The sequence below is a fragment of the Homo sapiens genome, chromosome 5 (assembly GCF_000001405.40).
Source record: "Homo sapiens chromosome 5, GRCh38.p14 Primary Assembly".
Lineage (NCBI taxonomy): Eukaryota > Metazoa > Chordata > Mammalia > Primates > Hominidae > Homo > Homo sapiens.
Window position 1 is genome coordinate 38037504 of NC_000005.10, and position 19938 is coordinate 38057441.

The 19938-nt window shown below is 41.0% G+C and overlaps 1 long non-coding RNA gene across 1 annotated transcript in view, besides 1 other annotated feature; it reads left to right on the top strand.

The window, feature by feature from the left end:
- The window catches only part of LINC02107 (long intergenic non-protein coding RNA 2107), a 158236-nt gene that overhangs the window by 11807 nt on the left and 126491 nt on the right, over positions 1–19938 (top strand). The window lies entirely within an intron of this gene.
- Positions 1967–2468: an enhancer, noted in NCBI's record as "NANOG hESC enhancer chr5:38039572-38040073 (GRCh37/hg19 assembly coordinates)". NCBI's record gives its function as "activates a minimal SCP1, AML or CMV promoter by ChIP-STARR-seq in primed H9 embryonic stem cells {active_cell/tissue: H9 hESC(primed)}" and the evidence as "EXISTENCE:reporter gene assay evidence [ECO:0000049][PMID:30033119]".

Consider the following 19938-nt stretch of genomic DNA (forward strand, 5'->3'; position numbering starts at 1 on the left):
TGAAATGAAACGACCTTTCCCTTGGGTTCATTGAGTGAGGCCGTTGTTATCAATGAAGACATGCTTGAGGCTGTGCTAAAGGAAGAATGCTCCACCTTCTTGGAGTCTGATGTGACCAACATGGTTCTACAAAAATATCAAGTCAAAGATTTGATCTTGAAGAGAAGGAGTCTGATCTTAGCAAAACGAAAATGGTTCAGCATGTGGCATCTAAAGATATTGTGAATCTTGTGAACTTGTTTGTTAAATGGGACATTTAGGAGCAGATGTGGTGTATGGTGATCATATGTCCTGGCTGTTGCCTGTTTTATCTCAATATAATTAACAATGGTTATTCAATTTCATCCTCAAAAGTGTCCTGGTTTGGATGATAAGCTATATGGTTCCCTGTCTAACAGAAGCAAAAAACTAAATGCTAGTTTGTTCATCCATTCATTTATTCATTCAACAAATATTTATTGAGTTTCTACCTACTCTGTACCAGACACTGCTATGAAAGTTAAACAGATGAGGTGCCTGTCTTCATTGGAGATTAAAATTTAGTAGTGGAGGTTGAAAAGTAACAAGTAAACGATGGAATAAATCGATTATTAGAAGCCGTGATAGGAATTATGATGGAAATAGCTCTGAAGGAGAAAAGAGTGGCAGAGGTGGCCCCTCTCGAGAAATCTCGACCTGGGGAATTTGGAGGATGAGGAGGAGCCAGCCATGGGATATGTGGGTGGAGTTAGACTGAAGAGCCTGCATGACAATCTGGAGTGGGATAGAGCTAGGTATGTTCCCAGGATGGAAAGGATTGAGAATCTAGATCCATTTGAGGGAGTAAGGGAAGGCTTCAAGGAGAAGGCAGAAGGAAGCTTATCCACAGACTCTTGAAAGATGACTACTGGGCAGGTATTTCACTGAGCAGGGGCAGCATGAGTGAGGTGCAGAGTGGGTGGTTGAGTAGCAGGTGTTCTAGCCGGACTGCTCTGTGTGATCCCGTGGAAAGCAGTGGGAGAACATGCTAGAAGCTGAATTGAGCTGGCTGGGGAGTTGCAATGTATAGTTTCTAGTTAGATGCTTCTAAGAAGATGGCCTGGATTCAAAGTTATGCCTATGCTGAATCTTAAATTCTGCTTCTTGGTTTTTATGTCAGTGTTCCAGTTGTTTAATTAACAAAGTAAACAATCTGCTGGTTTTGTGATAGATGAATCTTCCAGATGGAAGAAATGTCTTTGTTTCATTTTAGACTTAAGGTCAGACTTGGGCATTATGGAAGGACTTACAAGGCACAGTCTATTTTAATGACCATAATTCTAGTTTGGGCATACTTTAAGATACGAGAAAAATATTACTTGAATTGCAGGTGCTCAATTCTGACACTCCTTCTCCCTCCATCTACTCCCTTATCCCCTAGCTCTCATCTTCAAATTTCATGGGGAATCTCTGAACGAATTCAACAGGCTTTAGCAGGGCTTTAGAACTGCATTTCAGATATATCATGACTTCATGTAAAGTTAGGTTAAGGCTCAGATTTCTGAATTAAAATATGAATTTATTCCATGGGTTAAGTTGATATGTAGGAAGAATTAAGAGTGATTTGCAATTTATCTGAACTATTATAGAGCTATTGACTATTTCATTCCCTCTCTCACCACTCAGATTGGCCCTTGTTCACTAACCCTTATGATGCCTTGGTTCAATCTTCAAAAGGCATCTCTGCTTCCCACCCCACACTACACTGCACATTGGGCAAGAGGAATGTGGGCTGGATCTCAGTCTCCAGTCATCCTTCTGGCTGGGTGTCCTTGTGCAGTGAACAACCCGTACAGCAATATATAGCAGCCCTGACCATTTACTGTTGTAATTCCAAACATTTGGAAGATCTCAGCTTCTAGCAGAGGGTGGCAGTGGGCCTGAATATATTTCCCTAAGGCAATATTTCTGAAAACACACACTAACTTGAAAAAACATCGAGTAAACTTTGTTCTGCTTACAACAACTCAATTTGTGTTTTATTAGTGTGTATAGAGCCACTGGAGAAAGTCCACTTCTAAGAAAGTCTTTAGAAAACCCCAAATTTTCCATTACTATGTTTTGGTGGGTAATTCTTGACCAGTCCTCATTCTACGGAACTCACAAAATCAAAGAGCTCATCAGTATGTTAAGTGACAAAATGTTCAACTTCTTTGTAATTCCAATATAAACTCATTCAGTGATCTGTGTGATTCAATTCACATCTCCCTTGAGAGACACTTCATGCATAGCAAAGTACTCAAGGAATGTGCAACTAAAGAGCCACACATCTTATTTCTCCCTGGGCTCTCAAGTGAATGACAGATTCAGCTCCAAAAGGTGAGGAAAACTGTCACACCAATGTAGCATTCTGATTGGCTGTGCTATTTGGATCTGTAGAGACTTGCAAAACAAAAGTCAGGGTATTTTCCCTCTTAAACCGGGTTTATAAATAGTTGCCTAACGCCCTGGGCAGGGTTGTTGCATGAAAGGATTATTGCACTTTTTGTAGAGGCTCTTGGTCACTCTAATTTTGGATACATACCTTACTACATACAGGAGGCATGCAGGAATCAGCTCTCAGAAATGCCCTGGTTGATATGTCTCATAGCATAATTATAGCAAAGCGCATTTACAGCACTAATGGCTTAAATATCAGCAATATCTATAATACAGGCTGATAAGCCTTAGGTTTCTAGGCAATTCAGCCCACAGATATGTACTGATATACTGCACAGTAATTACCACTTGGGTTCAGTTGTCCTACCAGTAGAGTTAGTCAAACTCTGGATTCTCAGTGAAATTATCTAGAAGTCTTATACCTTATCTGTTAACCCAGTGTTTTTTGGACTGTGGGTTGCAACCCACTAGTAGATTATGCAGTCAATTTAATGGGTCATGGCCAGTGTTTGGGGAATCTATGATATTAAATAGAATAGAGTCAGCAGAATAACGTAGAATACTAAATATCAAAGTGGATTATTCATAATAAAGGTTAGTATTGATTGAAATTTTACTCCATATTTTATCCACTCTAAGACATACTTTTTTTTACTATAGATCTTTGAAATCAGGATATCTTATAATTATAATAGGTAGTTTTTCTTTCTCAGTCAGTGATAAAACAATGGTATATCTTGCAATCATGGCAACTTAGATTTGGTATATGAGCACATTGGGTTTTGATGTAAAATATATCTCTTTTTGTGGTCATGGTCAAAAGAGCTTGAAGAAGACAGATTTGATTCAGTCTTTCCAGGTTTCCCTCTCCGCTGGAAGTTGGGTGGTTGGTCCCTTGCTGCCTGGAATCTTTGTGCAGAGTTTCTGACCCTCAATATCACCCCATTTCCCGATGAGGAATGGCTGGGCTCCCTCAACAGGGAATTACACATTCAAAAACTGTCATCTCTCTGCAGCCTGTCTTGGATGTTGAAGATGATTCAACCAGGATGGCAATAATGTCAGAGATCTCAGGTAATGAGTTTCCCTTGTGTGACCCTCCAGTTTGCTGTTCATACCAGTGCCTCCTGGAAGGGATTTCTTGGTGATGTAGAGCTTGGTAGGTGGCAGAGAGGGATGCTTTTAGATTTTGGTTTTATGGGCACTATCTCATAAGCCTTCTTGTGGTTTTTCCCATTAGCCAGGGCTTCCTGTGGCTACTATCACCAGTGAGGTTCACAAGAATAGTGGTCATTTAAGGATCTTGATGTTTTTAATGTCTCAGTTGGCTTCTGCTTCTTTTTTAAGGCTGACCACTCAGTGGGACTCCCAGCACCCTCCACCCCCAGAAGGTAAATCACGGGTCTCTGCTGAACCCTCACACTCAGATAACTTTATATAAATATATAAGGGAAACAGGTCTGTATTACACCAGGGTATCATACTCCTACTTTTCTTCTGCTCTGTTCAGAAAAGGAAAGTTTTAACCCAAAGGAATGAGCCACTTACTGGAAATTTTAGATTCTGTGGCAATTGAGAAGAGGAGTTATATTTCCCTGCCATTTTTTGGGCCCTGTTCCTACCTTAAATCTTCTTTAAATGCTCATCTTATTAATTCCCCAAATACTACCAGCTAGCAACTTGAATGCTGCATAAAACCTTAAAAACATCTTCTGTCAGACTCAGAATTTAAATGTATTTTGTATATAAATCCTGCCTGCTTTCCTTGAGTTAAACTGTTACCCTTCCTAAGAGTAAACTCTATCCTGACTTCTAAGACCATAGAATAATTTTGCCTGGTTTTGTACTGTACATAAGTGGAATTATACAAAATGTACTCTTTTGTGTCTGGCTTCTTCTACACGCCATCACGTTTATGAGATTCAGCTATATTTTTCATGCTTTTATAAATAATTTATTCTCTTTGCTTAAGAGTATATCACAATTTATTCCTCATCTCAACTATTGAGGGTACTTGGGTAGTTTCTAGTGTTTGGCTATTACAAATAGTGTTGTTATGAACATTGTAGTACCTTCTGGGATGTATATCTAGGAGCAGAATTCATGAATCAGAGGGAACGTATATTCAGTTTTAGTACACTGTGCAAATGAACTTTTTCATTTCAGCCATTCTGGTAGGTGCATAGCAGTATTTCACATGGTTTTATCTTGTGTTTCCCTGATGCCTAATAGAGTTGAGAGCCTTTTCATATGCTCTTTTGTTATTTGGATAGCTTATTTTGTGAATTGTCTACACATCTTTTTGTTGGGTTGTCTGTAATTTTCTTATTGATTTATAAGAGTTTTTCTGAACATGAGTCCTTTATTAGATGCATGCATTGCAAGTACCATTACCATTGTATAGGATGCCTTAATGATGTCTGTTGATGAAAAGGTGTTTTTAATTTTAGTATTGTTTATCAACATTGTATAATTAATGTTTTTGTGTACTCTTGATAAAATCTTTGTCTGTTTCAAAATCATGAAAATAATCTCCTATATTTTAGCAAGTTTTTTTTTTTTAAAAGGATCCTATTCTTCTCTTCCTTCTCTTCTTTCTTTACTTTTCTTGCTTTCCATTGACTCCCCTTTTTTGGTTTCTCCCTTCCTTACTTTGTTTTTCTTTTTGGTTCCATCCAAAGAAGCAGCATAAGAAAACCTTTCATCTTTTCATTATTAAAATCACATTACTCCTCTGTTTGAAATATGTCTATGGACTTCCAAAGGTTTCTGAATAAAATTAAAATTTCTTGACTTGGGAAGCAAGGTCTCTAACGATCCCTCCCTGCCAACCTATCTCTGTAGGCTTCCCTATTTTCCGTTTTCCCTACAAACACACTGTTTATTCCAATCACATGGCAAAGCTGAACTTACTAAAGGTATCTGCTTTTATATGAATCCATGCCTCTGCATGTGCTGTTCTGTAGGCCTGGAATTCCTTTCCTCCTTTTCCATTTAACTAATTCCCATTCATCTTTCAAAACTCAGCTCAGTCAACTTTTCTCTGGCAATCTTTCAGCTCCACATATCTGAGTGAGCTGTGTTTTCATTGCTCCCAAGGCACTTTGGGTACATCTAGATTATGGCACTCCTCACACTCAACTGTAATTATTCATTTAGCTGTTCTTCTCCCCAACTAGAGTTGCAAGATGCTTGAGAGCTAAGCATGTGTCTTATTTGACTTTATGTGTCCAATGTCTACCAGGCATATAGAAGGTGTTCAACACATTGAATAAGTACATTAAGGAGCAATGCTTCCCCATTTTATGGATGAGGAAAAAGAGGCTCTGAAGTAATAAGCTCACCAAACTATATGAAGAGATGTCACTTACTGAGGATACAATGCACTAGCATTTTCTGTTATTAGGACCCCTTAATTGTGAGTTCTGTGTAAAGCTTTCCCATAGCATATTTGATTTGCTAGTAAGCTTTGCACTAGTCCTTTCTTTTATCTCTTCTTTCTGGAAGTTTATGGCTCTTTTTAAAGACAACTGACAAATGTTTAAATGCCTTGGAAACATCGTCATGTTGGTTCCCTTTCTGTACTCAATACTGGGAGAGTCTCCTAGCCATTCATCTATATTCAGGAAAGATAAATGAAATAACTTATGCCAGCATGTGATTTTCATTTTTGTTACATTTTCATATAATATTTTATGTATTTGATTATGAATATGCAATATATATATATACAATTTAAAATCAAAAGATACAGTAGGATATATAGTGAAAAGATTCTTGCTAAAAGTCTTCCTTTGACAATACCAAATGTTAGCAAAGATGTTGGGCAACTAACTGGAGCTCTCATACACAGATGAGGGGAGTGTAAATTGGTACAAACACTTGGAAAAACCGCTGGGAAATATCTACTAAAACTAAACATATCTTTACCTTATAATCTAGCGATTTCTCAGAAGTGACTACTTGTAGTTCCATCAAAAGACTTCTTCTGGGAAACCACTAGAGTACTCCTTGCGCTTTTATTCATGACATCCCCTAACTGAAAACAACTCAATGTCCTTCAACAGTAGGTATGTACACAAACTGTGGTACATTCATACAATGTAGTACCACACGGTAATAGAAAAGAACTGCCATTTGCAATAACAGGGATGAATCTCATAGATGTAACATCCAGGGAAAGAAGCCAGACTTGCAAAATTACACACTGTGTGAATCCATTTATATAAAGTAAAGAACAGAAAAAAAATCTATTGCAATCTAGGTTAAAAGGAAGGTTATCTTTGGGGTTTGGGTACTTGACTGAGTGAGAGTAGTGTGTAATCTTCTGGGGTTCTGGGAATGTTCTGCATTTTTATCAGAGTGGTGGTTACATGGGTGAATGTGTATGTAAAAATTCATTGAGCTGCTCACTTAAGACTTGAGTACTTTACCTCAATAATATACTAAATTATAAGGAAAAAAAACCTACACAAAACATTTTTTAAAGTTTCTCTCCTCTTCTTCTCCCCAGCCTCTAAGTTATTCTTCCTAGAGAAATCAATATTATCCGGTTTTTTGGTGAATCCTTCAAGGATATTTTATGCTTATTCAGGCAAATACATACATTTATACGTGCCTGAATACAAACACGTGTGTGTAGTTTTTTCCATTTATTAATACATGGTAACTTTTCATATACATCATTTTGTACCTTTCCTTCCCACCCCCCCTCCCCCAGCCCTGCCAATCTTGGAGATTTTTGTCTTAGGTACATAAACATTGTGTATTATCACATAAATCACAGCCTGACTTATTATTTACCCTGACTAAAGGAGAATGTGATAAAAATAAATTGAATGATTATAGAAGTTATAAACCAGTGAAGTCTGCTTTTTGTTCATTTTCTCAGTGTTAATGGCAGTACCACCCTGGAACTAAAATCAGAGAAAGTTTAGACTTCAAATTGATTGACAATTTAAAAAATAACCATTTCAGAAAGTTGTAATTTTTCAGTGCTAGTTAAATGATTTATACTGTCATTCTTCAAATTGAAGTATGGAGTGACATCTTTCTTTAGTAACAGGAGATTAAAAATGATTTCCACACTTCCTAAGCCCAGAGACCAGAGGTTCAAGTTCACTCTGTAGGTCCAGATGAAAGTCATGAACCCATCAAAGAAATTTCTTGAGCACGTGCTATGCTAGGCACTGCCTCATTGTGAAGAGCTTGTTTCAAGGTTTCCCTATTGGAACTGCTGGAGTTTTAGTGTGGGGAGGCTGTGTGGCCCTACACAGTGGTCTCCCGACCTCTGAAAAATATGCAAATTTCCAGACCCCATCCACAGAGATTTTGATTTTGAGAGGGTCTGAGGTGTGGTCTGGGAGTATGTATTTTTAAGGAGCACTTCCAGGTAATTATGATAGAAGTGATTTGATACAAGGACTGGCTTAGGAAGCAGGAATAACATAAATAACAGAACCAGTATAGGTTCCAGTTGGATCTACCTCTATCTGCCCTACAATGTGATTTGGAGTTCATTTCTGTCTTCATCGTCTAGGACTGCCATAACAAAGTACCATAGACTGGGTGGCTTAAACAACAGACATTTATTTCTCACAGTTCTGGAGAAGTCCCAGATCAAGGTGCCAGCCAGTTTGGTTTCTGGTGAGGCCTCTTTTCTTGGTTTGCAGATGGTCGCCTTCTCACTGTATCCTCACATGGCCTTCCTTCTGTACACATGTGGGGAAAGAGAGAGAGAGAGAGCACTCACTTCCTCTTCTTATAAGGTTACTATTCCTACTGGATTAGGGCCCCACCCTTACAGCCTTATTTGACCTTAATTACCTCCTAAAGATCCTATCTCCAAATAAGTCACACTAGGGGTTAGGGAGTCAACATATGCAGTGCAGGGGAAGACAGTTCAGTTCATAGCAGTTACTAAATCTCTCTGAAACCTTGTTTCCTCACCTGTAAAATGAGGATAATAACACTTGGGTTAGTGGGAGAAGGATTGAATGATTATACCGGCATATGAAAGGTATCTGATGTTTTTTTTCTCTTTTAAACTTCTTTTGGAGAGAAATAATGAAAGTGAGGGACGTCATGACCCCGTGGCAATGTGTTGGTCCTATTGATAGCAACCTAAAGCCAGAAGGTCTACAGAATTAAAATGACTTGTCCAAGTTTGCCTAGTAAGTGAGAAACTTAATAGGTTTACCTATTAAGTAAGAAACTGGACTGAACACTAGGCCTCAGGGCTGTGAGGCCTGTGTTATTCTACACTGTATGACTTATTTTGCTTGGAGTTGACAAGAGTGGGTGTACCGCTCAACAGGCTTAGATTTGTCTTGGGTATTTAAGAGCAATGCCGCCCCCAGACACATGCGGGCATTATGGGCTGAGTGGAACACTATGTGCCCTGTGTAAAGCTATCCTTTCTTTGGATTAGTGAGCTGGGGCGGCCTCCTTTGCTATGCACTAGTCTGGCCTCACAATATCTAGTTTCAGAAGAGCATGATTGGCCAGCACGCAGGTCAGGGAGAAAAGGTTCTGTGGGGGTCACCAATGTCCTTGGGGAGAGGGGATCGTGCCTCTCGCTGGGCAGGAGGCTCTGCACCAACTGCATTGTAAAGTGCACCAGCTCAAGCAGCTGAAATAATTTGCCCTCTCAGGGATTTGAGTTTTGAGGGGCAGTATCTTCGATTGAATGACTGTCTCCAGCTGAACTCTGAGAGGCTCCAGTTACCCCAATCATTCCAGCCTGCATAAACATTCTCTATCTAGCCGTGGGTGGCTGGGTTCATAATGCCAGGCTGGCTGGTGAGAGGGTGGAGAATGTGCTGTTTCCCAATTGATAGGATTTCAGGGGCAATGGCTGGGGCCCATCTTCCTTAAAGATCTCTCCAGTGGAGTAGCTCTATACCTGAACTCCCATTAGCAATGAATTCCTTTGTGTGCTTGAAGGCTTTGGAGTCATTATAGTTCCTCTTTTAAGACTTCAGAACCCATACTTGGGATGAAAGAAAGCCCCTCTGTGAGTCTTGGTTATTAGGAAGATGACAAGGAGGCCCATGGAGAGTGACACAGAATAGCTAAGAAATGTTATAGCTGAAAGGCAACCCACAAGGAGCTCATTGGACCCCTTGATTTACAGTCAAGGATATCAAAGGAACAAAGCTTGTCCGAGGTCACACAGCTGGTTATGGCAGAACCAAATCAGATGCCAGACTATTGGCTTCCACTTCTTTCCTATTTGTTTAGTATAAGCAATGATGAAGAAAGCAGATCGGCTACAGAAGGGCAAGCCCTGGAGCACAGGGAATGGGAAGGAGACCAAAGACAAACTCTGCCTCCCAGCTGTGCCTAAGACAGGCCCTGGTGTCAGCACTTGTGCAGGAAATCCCCTCTTATAAACAGAGGCATATTCCAAAAGTTCTTTCATATGTTTATTTCTTGAATCATGGAACTTGTTTTCTCATAGAAATAATATTTTAAATATTTTAAATGGTGAGTTAAATTTCCCAAGATCCATCCACAAAAAACCTATGTAACTGATGGAAGACACAGAAAGTAGTATCCATGGGTGTATTTCAGTGAATCTTACCCAATGCTCATCACATTTATTATTTCTATGGAGTATAATATACAGTGAGTTTTAAGTCAGGTTGGAAGAAAGGCTTCTCCTGCACAGGGCAGGGCAGCTCTCCTAGTTCAGAGTCCGGAGGATGGGAGAGGGTAGGGATTGGAAGGCTGGGTGGGAGGGCAGGCACCCTCTCTGAACCTCAGCTCTAAAATGAGAACAGGGGGAATAATTCTGCCCTGCCCACTTCATAGAGTTGTGAGGACTGAGTGAGGTACTAGGTGGCAAAATGCTTTGAAAAGAAATAAAAGTAAGAAAAGCCCTTTAAACATTAATCACTCCCTAGATGTTTTGATGGGGTGGCTATGACAGACACGTGGATGGTAGCAGTGCTATGGTATTGTGTCCAGGCCTTAGTTAGTACTAGTAGTGATAACAATAGGAGTGACAATAAACTAATATTTATAGAGAGCTTTCTAGGTGTCAGGCATGGTCCTCAATGCTTTATAATACTAATTTATCATACCCATTGTGACGATTATTGTGTCAGGTTGGCTAGACCACAGTTCTCAGATAATCGGTAAAACACTAGTCTAGATGTTCTGTGAAGGTATTTTTTAGATGAGATTAGCATTAAAATCAGTAGACTTCGAGTAAAGCAGATTACCCTCCATAGTATGCATAGGCCTCATTCAATCAGTTGACAGTCTTAAGAGAAAAAACTGAAGTCACTCGAGGAGGAAGGAAGTTGGCCTTTAGAGCCAAGCTGCAACATCAACTCTTCCCTGAGTCTCCAGTTTTCTGGTCTGCACTGCAGATTTCAAACTTGCCAACCTCAATAATTATGTGAACCAATTCCTTAAGAGCTCTCTCTCTATACACACACACACACACACACACACACACACACACACACACACACAGATGCTATTGGTTCTGTTTCTTGGGAGAACTCTGAAAAGTATACAGGGGAAGAAGCTAAAATACAGGTTGGGTAAGTAATTTTTTCAAGTAAGCAGCTATGGCAGAAAGAGACTGGTTAGTTTTTCACCAAACGGTTTGCCTTTACCCCTGTGTGCTTTGGGCATACAGCTAGACTACATTTCCCAGCCTCCCTTGCAGATAGGTGTGACTGTGTAACTGAGGGCTGGTCCCTAGGATAGTGGGTAAAAGTGATACACATACCTCCAAATCATGCTTACTCTCCCCCGTCCTGCTGACTCCAGGTCTTTGGGGGTTGACAGGGCCATGAGATGGGAGGAGCTTGAGTAACTGAATGACCTCGTGGAGCAGAGCCTGTCAGCCTCAAACACACTGTACAATGACCTGAGTGAGCAGAAAACCTGTATTATGTTTAGTCTCTGAGATTTGGAGGTTTGTGCTTTTAATTATAACACTTTCCCTGACAAATACAGTGATGCAGCTAGATTCAAATCCAGGCCACCAGCCTCCAAAGTTTGAATGCTTCATCTCTATACTGCTCAAATGTCCTTTGCATGCACTAATTAAGAGGAAATGTCTCCTTCACCTTTCCCTGCCTGCTCCTGAAAACCAAGGATACAAAGCACCCCATCTTAGAGCAGCATCGTAAACATCATATTTTAGGATGCCTGAAACTATGCTGAGGAGCATGAGCCTTGGGTATGCAGGGGAGTGGGAGAGGAGTGGGTGGAAGAGGATGAAGATGGGTCCAAGTAGGTACTCAGTGTTTCCCCATTTCCCTGGATGTGGCCTTTGTCTTCCCCAAGCAGAGGAGTCCTGGCTCTTTACTAAATAGCAAGTGTGGTCTGTTTATGCTGGAGCAGACTGTGGAAATACACAGCCCGTTCTGCCCAGTGCCAACCATTCCTCACTCAGCAGTGCTTTCCCCAAGCTAAGTTCAACAAAGGAGGAAAGTGTGGCTGCAGCTCTGGAGAAGGCTGGCGCAAAGGCAGCTTTCCACATAAAGGCTGCTATCTATAAACAAAATCAAGGTTCAGGGGAGAGGGGGCTGCTTCATTTTTCTTTTTCTGTGCATTTTGGACTGCTCAGCCGCCTTAACCTATGCCCAACACTCTGTCCAGTCCAGGGCAGAGATATGCCTGGATTTGTCTATGGTCAGAAAAGCCTAGTTGGAAGGTGACAGATGGGCTGTTGTGACCAGATTCAAAGGAGATGACCAAGTCTCTCTACCCTGCAGAACAAAGGAATTCCTGGGAGGAAGCTTTGGATGAGAAAGGGATATGTTGATATGTATATGTGTCTATCACGGCCAACGCAGAAACTCTGTCCATGTTAGCTTTTGTATTGAAAGGTGACCTTGTATGCAAAGTTAGATACAAAATTCGAAACTTGAGGCATGTGTAGTCTAGCTGAGTGTGCAGGAAGAATTTGTTTGGTTTAGGAAAACATGAAATTAAATACAGTATTACGACTATATGAAGTCAAAAGACTTTTTTGACAGATTTTTTTTTGGCTTTTAAACTGGTGTTTGTTTAACTTTAGCTTCTGTCTAGTCTATTAGTTTGAAATAAAAAAATTAAGATGCATTTTTATTTACATTGACTGGTTAATTTTTATCATATAGAACACTGACTACCTTTGTTTAAATAAAACAATGGTTGATTTCTCATGGAGTAGTTGAACTGAAGTATTTCGAGCCAGCATGTTAGAATTTTTGGGATGGGGATATGTGACTTGACAAAGCTTCCCAGGTGCTTCTGAGCTTTCCTGCTTTACCACAGCACCCCCTCAGCCACATCCACAAGAATCCCTGTTTTGTGATGAATTGATAGACATTTATTAGAGCTTGAGGCAATCAGGTTTCTTGATTGCAAGCAACAGAATCATGCTCTGGCTAACATTAGGTAAATGGAGTTTTATTTATTTATATCAGGAGTCACCAGGTTTGATGAGAGGCTGGGGGGCCAAGCTTAGGAATGAGAGGAACCAAGGACATACCATAGGCCCAGGAAGCAGGAAGTGGGAAACGCAGCAACTGTCTCTGTCTCCTAGCAGGAACAGAATGGCTAAGGTGTCCCCACCACTCTGCAGTGAAGATGACCTCCAGGTGTTCCCTGCCTGTGACAGACAGAATACTGTAGAAGGCCCAAGATTCGAGTCCCCTGGTTATTCAGTAAAACATTGATCTAGGTACTGATGTGAAAGGATTTTGCAGATGTAATTAAAGACCAAAGTCAGTTGACCTTAAGATACAGAGATGATCCGATGGGCCGGATCTAATCGCATGAGCCCTTTAAATGCAGAAGAGGAAGGCAGAAGGGAAGGAAGAGAGGTGGAGCATCTGAAGGATGCTAGATGCTCCTGCTGGCTTTGAAGATGGAGGCCGTGTGCGCAGACCAGGGAATGGTTATAAGGAGCTGAGAGTAACCCTGGACAACAGCCAACAAAAAGAGGGGGACTTCAGTCCTTAATCTGCAAGAAACTGAATTCTGCCAATAATGGGAATGAGCTTGGAAGAGGGGCCTGAGCTCAGATAAGAATGTTGCCGGCTAACATCAGGTGAGACTCTGAGCAAAGAATCCAGCTGCCACATCCCAGAATCTCACCCACACAACTAGGAGCAAACAAATGTGTGTGGTTTTAAGATACTAAGTGTGTGGTAAATTGTTATGCAGCAATGGGTAACACTGTGTCACTTGGGAGATAGAAAGTCTGGGAGACAGTGTCCCATTGAGTGAGTGCAGGCCACATATTGTCCCCTGATCTTACCTGTGGGCAGGTGCTGTGAGGATTGGTCTTTCTCTTCTTTTGTATCTGGAAAGTAGCTCTAAGAATTACCTCCTGCCACAGATATACATCAGCAGAGCTGATTTCCCAACATTAATTTGGGATTTGATTACAAAAAGGGATGGGTGCAAGGTAGCCCTGGTAAGTGTCTGCTGGAAAGATTTCCTCAGTAAATGTTCTGGTGTGTCACCTGCCCTCCCTGCCTGTGGCTGGCTCCTTGGCAAGGTGCTAACCACATTTAAGTTTCTAGCACATCCCTTCTGATTTGCAGACCTCCCTATGTAAAAATGTGGATAATGTGCTGTGTCGTAAGTTCCAGTGCTTCAAGATAGGCTTAGGCATTTTTAAGAGGGAGAGTGACACAATGAAAGGTTCTAAGTTTGGGAGTCTGGATGTGCAGATTTTAATCCTGGGTTTTCTGCTGTGTGACTTTGGGCAGTCACTGCATCTCTGTGGCTTTAAGTTGCCCTCTCTGAAAACTGAAGGGCCCAAGATTTGTGAAATCTAAGGCCTCTTCCAGCCAAAAGAACCCTGACTATCCATCCAAAAATCACTCATTCATTGAATAATTGACAGTCGAGGCCTGTGTGGTTCTGAGGATGTAGCAGTGAGCAAGGCTGACAAGGCCCCAAACTCATGCACCTGCCATTGTAGTGAGCATGACGTGACAAGGAAATAAGTTTTGAAAGGTGCTACAAGGAAAATAAAAGTCCAGAGTCAGCATTATGTAGAGGTTAGGGGAAATCTCTCTACGGAGGTAACATGTGAGTGGGACTGACGACTCAAGACTGGGTCTCCTATGAGATGATGATCGCCAAGACGTTGAGCCACTGTGGTCAGGTGTAGTCTAGGCGTGGCCTGGCCCTCTGCCTGCCTGTTTTTATATGGCCCTTGAGCTGAGAATTGGTTTTACGTTTGTAAATAGCATATTCCTCTCCCAGGGCTGCCATAAAGCACCACAAACTTTATGGCTTAAACAACAGATTTATGGCCTCGCAGTTCTGGAGGCTAAAAATCCAAAATCTGGGTGTGAGCAGGGTTGGTTTCTCTGAGGGGTAGGAGGGAGAAAGGTTTTCAGGCCTCTCTCCCGGCTTCCGCTGACCTCAGGCATTCCTGAGCTTGTTGATGATGTCATCCCTGTCTTCACATTGTCTTCCCTCTATGTGTTTCTCTCTGTTTCCAATCACCCCTTTTATAAGGACATCGATCATACTGGATTAGGGCCCACTCTAATGACCTCCTTTGAATTTGATTACCTCTGCAGACTCTATTCCCAAACAAGGCCACATTCTGAGGTACTGGGGATTATTATTAGTACATTAACATTTCTTCTCTGGGGAGGGATGCCACTGAACCCACAACAAATGGCTACATTTTAAACAGTTATGTAAGTACTCAAGCAATATCCTCGGTTTTGCCTTTGGACCCACAATGCCTCAAATATTTGCTCTCTAATGCTTTAATAAAATGTTGGTCAACCCTGATCTACATCAGTGGCTCTGAAACTTTAGGGCTCCTCTGTCACTTAGAGAGCCTTACTTCCAGGATTGGAAGAATTTGCGTCATGCTAAAGCTGCTGATCTAGATAGTGGTTCCCAAATTCCGGTCCTTGGGTGTAGCACATCCCCAAGGGAGCTTGTTAATGGTACAGATGTCTGGTGCCCTGGACTTGCTCAGAATCTCCAGGGATGAGGCCACTATTTCCGACATGCAGCCAGATGTAGGAAATATTGGTCTAGTTTAATTATTTCGGTCAGGAAGAGCAAATGATTAGATTACTCCTTTGTGATTGGATTGATTTCTTGGGCCTCACCTGTCTGTGGGCGAGATCAAGGTAATTGGGGAACCCTGTTTTTCTTGTCAAGACTTGCATTGGAGGAAAACACCCTCAAAAAATGTATGGTCTGAATTCATCCAAGGCCAGAGATCTTTGTTTAGGCTGTTCCATAATATTATGATCATTAGGTGGCTTGTCAGCAGTTCATGGGAAAAAATATTGACTACAAACTCAATGGGAGCCAACAACGAGAGACATCTGCTAAGAGACCTCAGGCCCTGTGGGCTGCCTGGAGAGCCGTTTAATATCCAGACCCCAGAAGGTCACAGTCCCTGGTAGTCTGGGCCCCACGTTCTGTGACTGCTGGCCAATTAAGCAGACTTTAAGAGAGACATTGAGAAACTGGAATATTTCCAGGATAGAGGGATGAGGACCTGGAAATGATGTTCAAGGAAGAAGGATCAAGGGAGAGCTTATAAAATGGTGGGTTTCAGGCCCTACCCAACCACATGTGTTATGTTCAACAGTCCTAATGGTCAAAACCATGCTGAATTTGAGTGCCGTTGGGCAAAGCCTTTACTCTCTCCAGTTCCACACCTTTCTACTTCTTATCTATTGCTTCTCAATATCCATAAGGGATTAGTTCCAGGACCCCTGAGGACACCAAAATCCGAGGACGCTCAACTCCCTTATATAAACTGTGTAGCATTTGTATAAAACCTACGCACATCCTCCTTTATGCTTTACAACATCTCTAGGTTACATATACAATGTAAATGCTATTAGTTATTACACTGTGTTCTTTTAATTTGCATTTTTTAAACTGTTGCATTGTTACTTTTCATTTTTATTTTTCGAATATTTTCGATCCATTTGCAGAACCTGCGGATACAGAGGGCTGACTGTCTTTGTACCAGCCCAGTTCAAAGAGATTTGTTATCTGCTTGTTCTCTGGGACTTTACAGTCTGAAACTCTCAGAAGGAATAAAGATATATAATCAGGTCACACAAGGCTAAGAAGAGAATACTGGTTATTTTTAAATATCTAAAAGCATGCACTCCTGTATTAATTGGTTACATTTTTAACCGCTAGGGTTGTTGAGTGTGAAATAATTAGAAATATATCGACTGGTCTCTGCACTCGATTCCGGACACAGAGCTCCTAAAACCCTTGTAGACAGGCATGCCAGGAGAATCTTTTGTTCTAATATTTGGTCTTTGATGCTGGTTCTTGACACAGAGCTCCTAAGACCTTTGTAGTTTCCCATGTGATGGGAGCACCTGACATAGAGCAGCTATATTCCTTGGGATTTTCTGGGTGATGGAGGCATCTTTTTTTCTAATGAGGTGACTCTTGGTGGGCTCCTGGATGGCTTCAGGATGGGCAGTGGATACCACCAGATAGACCAAGCCATGGTTAGAAGCTTGGAACCTTCAACTCCACCCCCCATCCTCTGGGGAGGGGAGAAATGGAATTAATAAATTATACCTATGTGATGAAGCCTCCATAAAAATCCCAATACTATGGAGTTCAGAGAACTTCCATTTGGTGAACACATTCATGGGCCCAGAGGGTGGTGCACCCAAACTCCATGGGGTAGAAGCTCCTGCACTCGGGATCCTTCCAGACCTCACTCTATGTGTTCCTTTATCCGGCTGTTGATTTATATCCTTTAAAACATCCTTTGGAAGAAATCAGCAATAGTAAGTAAACAGTTTTCCTGGGTTCTATGATCCGCTCTAGCAAATTATCAAACCTGAAAAAGGGATCATGGGAACTTTTGATTTGTAGCCAAACAGGAAAAAAGTTGTGGTTCCCCAGAGACTTCCTGCTTGTGACTGGTGTCTGAAGTAGGGCACAGTCTTGTAGGACTGAGCCTTTAACCTATAGGATCTGCAGTAACTCCGGATGGTATCAGAATTGAATTGAATTGAAGCTGGTGTCTGTCGGAGAATTGGTCAGTGTGGGAAAAAATCCCACACATTGGTGTCAGAAGTGAAGTATTGAGAGTGGTGGGAATATACAGGAAAATGTTTGCTTTTCCTACCTCACACTTGTAGAACATGTCTGTGGCTGGATTGGGCCTGCAGTGGCTGCTGCGTACCCAGAATGTGCCAGGGGCTGAGGCCACAGGCATAAATAAGATCACTCGGCGTGGCCCCTCTTACAATTAACATTCTTTTATGAAAAAGACATACATGACACAATTCCAAATTGTGGTAGGCATTTCGAAGGAAACAGCAATGGCTTCAGTAGAGGATAATGAGGAGCGGCTCTGTTTGGATGGTGTTGTCAGGGAAGTTGCTGGCAATGTTCAAGGTTGGGGAAGACCTGTCACATGAGGGGGAAATGTGTTAATTCTGGCTTTCTTCAAAAGATAGATAAGGAATATTGAATGGATATTTGAAAAGAAGATTTTAGTTCAGTATAAGAAAGAACTTTTCAATTTATATTCACCAGCTATGTGTTAAGGGGCTTGGTGAGATTCAAGACAGTGGAAGTGACAGAGCTAAGCACAGATTTTCAGTAGATATAGTCGTGAAGGTGGCATGAGAGGATCCTGTCATCTCCAGAGAGATCACTTGCAATTCTGAGATTCTCTGAAGTGATATGTTGATAGCAGTGTAAAACCAGAAAAATCCTATTTGGGGCCCAGATTAAAGGTAATCTCTAATGAGATTATCTTCAAACTTCAAGGGAAACCAAATGCAAACAAAAGGAAAGAAATATGCCTGTTAGACACAGAACAGAGTATGCAGAGGATGCAAACAGGACCTTGATGTGGAAAATCCCTGAGGTACCAAACCAGTGTTTAGAAAAGTGGTCAGCAGTTCCATATATCCATTGTTACAGTCATTATGGTTCTTCTGAAGGAATGGAAAAGGAAGGGATTGGGTGGTACAGTTTCTATTACCCTTTAAAAAAGCCACATATTGAACCACGTCCAGATTATGGAAAATCCAAGTAGTGATTCCGAGTTGTTGTTTGCTTGTTTGTTTGTGTTGTGGATATGAAGGGGCATCTTAGAATGAGACCTCTGAAGCCATCCAGTAAAATAGGATATGGTGGTTTCGTTAATAGAAAAAAGTCCTCTCAGGTTAAAACTTTTAGCAAAGGTGACCCTGGAGATGATTATCTGCCTCCTAATCACCTCAGCTCATGCCTCCTTCCACTGCTTCCCCTCAGGTTGTGGCCTCTCCATTAAGAACAACTACAGCAACTAATTTTTGAGAGTTGCTTATGTGCCAGGCACTAAGTGCTTCCCACATGTTATCTTCTTTGATGTTTTATAACAATCCTTTCTCCATTTTACTGATGAGAAAATTGAGTCCAGTAGAATCAGGGATTACAGCCCAAGTCAAGGAGCAACGCAGGCACAGATAGGCCTTTTTAAAAGGTTTTTTTTGTTTGTTTGTTTGGAATAGAGACAGGGTATCACTACGTTGCCCAGGCTGGTCTCAAATTCCTGGGCTCAAGTCATCCTCCTGCCTCGGCCTCCCAAAGTGCTAGGATTACAGATAGCTTAGAATGTAAGCTTGCCTGACTCTTTCCATCAAGCTGCCCCTAATTATCTTTGAGGAAGATCACTGAAAACAGTTTTCACTAGGATAAAAATGTTAAGAAATTCTGCTTAGGTTGGTTCTACCAGTCAACAAACGTACTCCATTGCTAGAAAGGGAATATCTTAGGTTGTGTAAAGATTTATCTCTGGAGGAGTCATGTTCTCTGTGTGTGTGTGTCTGTTTTTAAAGTAAAACTTTGATAGTTTGCTTAATTTTAGGTTACTTGAACTCTTCCATTGTATTGCAAAGTCATGTTTTTATAATACCATATTCTGCACGGAGAATAGAATCTACAGCTGATGGTGTATGTTTATTCATGTGGTTAAGTATGTTTGATTTTTTGATTTTTTTCCTCTTTCCTTTATTAAGGTATAATTTACATACAGCAAAATACATAGATCTAAGTATACAGTGGAATGGGTTTTGACAAATGTGTAGGTACTTCTGTGTTGCCATTAATTTCCATTAGCCAGAAAGATCCCTGGTGCCACTTTCTAGTACATTCTCTCATTCCCCCAGGAGTAACCCCTGTTCTCATTTCTATCACCATGTATCAGTTTTGCTTGTCCTTGACCTTAATGTAAATGGAATCATATAGTATGTACTCTTTCATGTCTAGCTTTTGTCTCTCAGCATTGTTGTACATATCTCTGGTTCTTTTTTATTGCTGACTAGAATTCCATTATATGAATATATCACAATTGATGTATTCATTATCCTTTTGATGGACACGTGGTTTTATAATTTTTGGCTGTTATGAATAAAACTGCTATGAACATTTGTACACAAGCCTTTTTGTAGGCATATGCTTTCGTTCCTCTGAAGTATATTCCCAGGAGGGAATTGCTGTGTTGTAAGGGAGGGTATTCTAACTTTATAAAAATCTGTTAGACTATTTTCGAAAGTGATA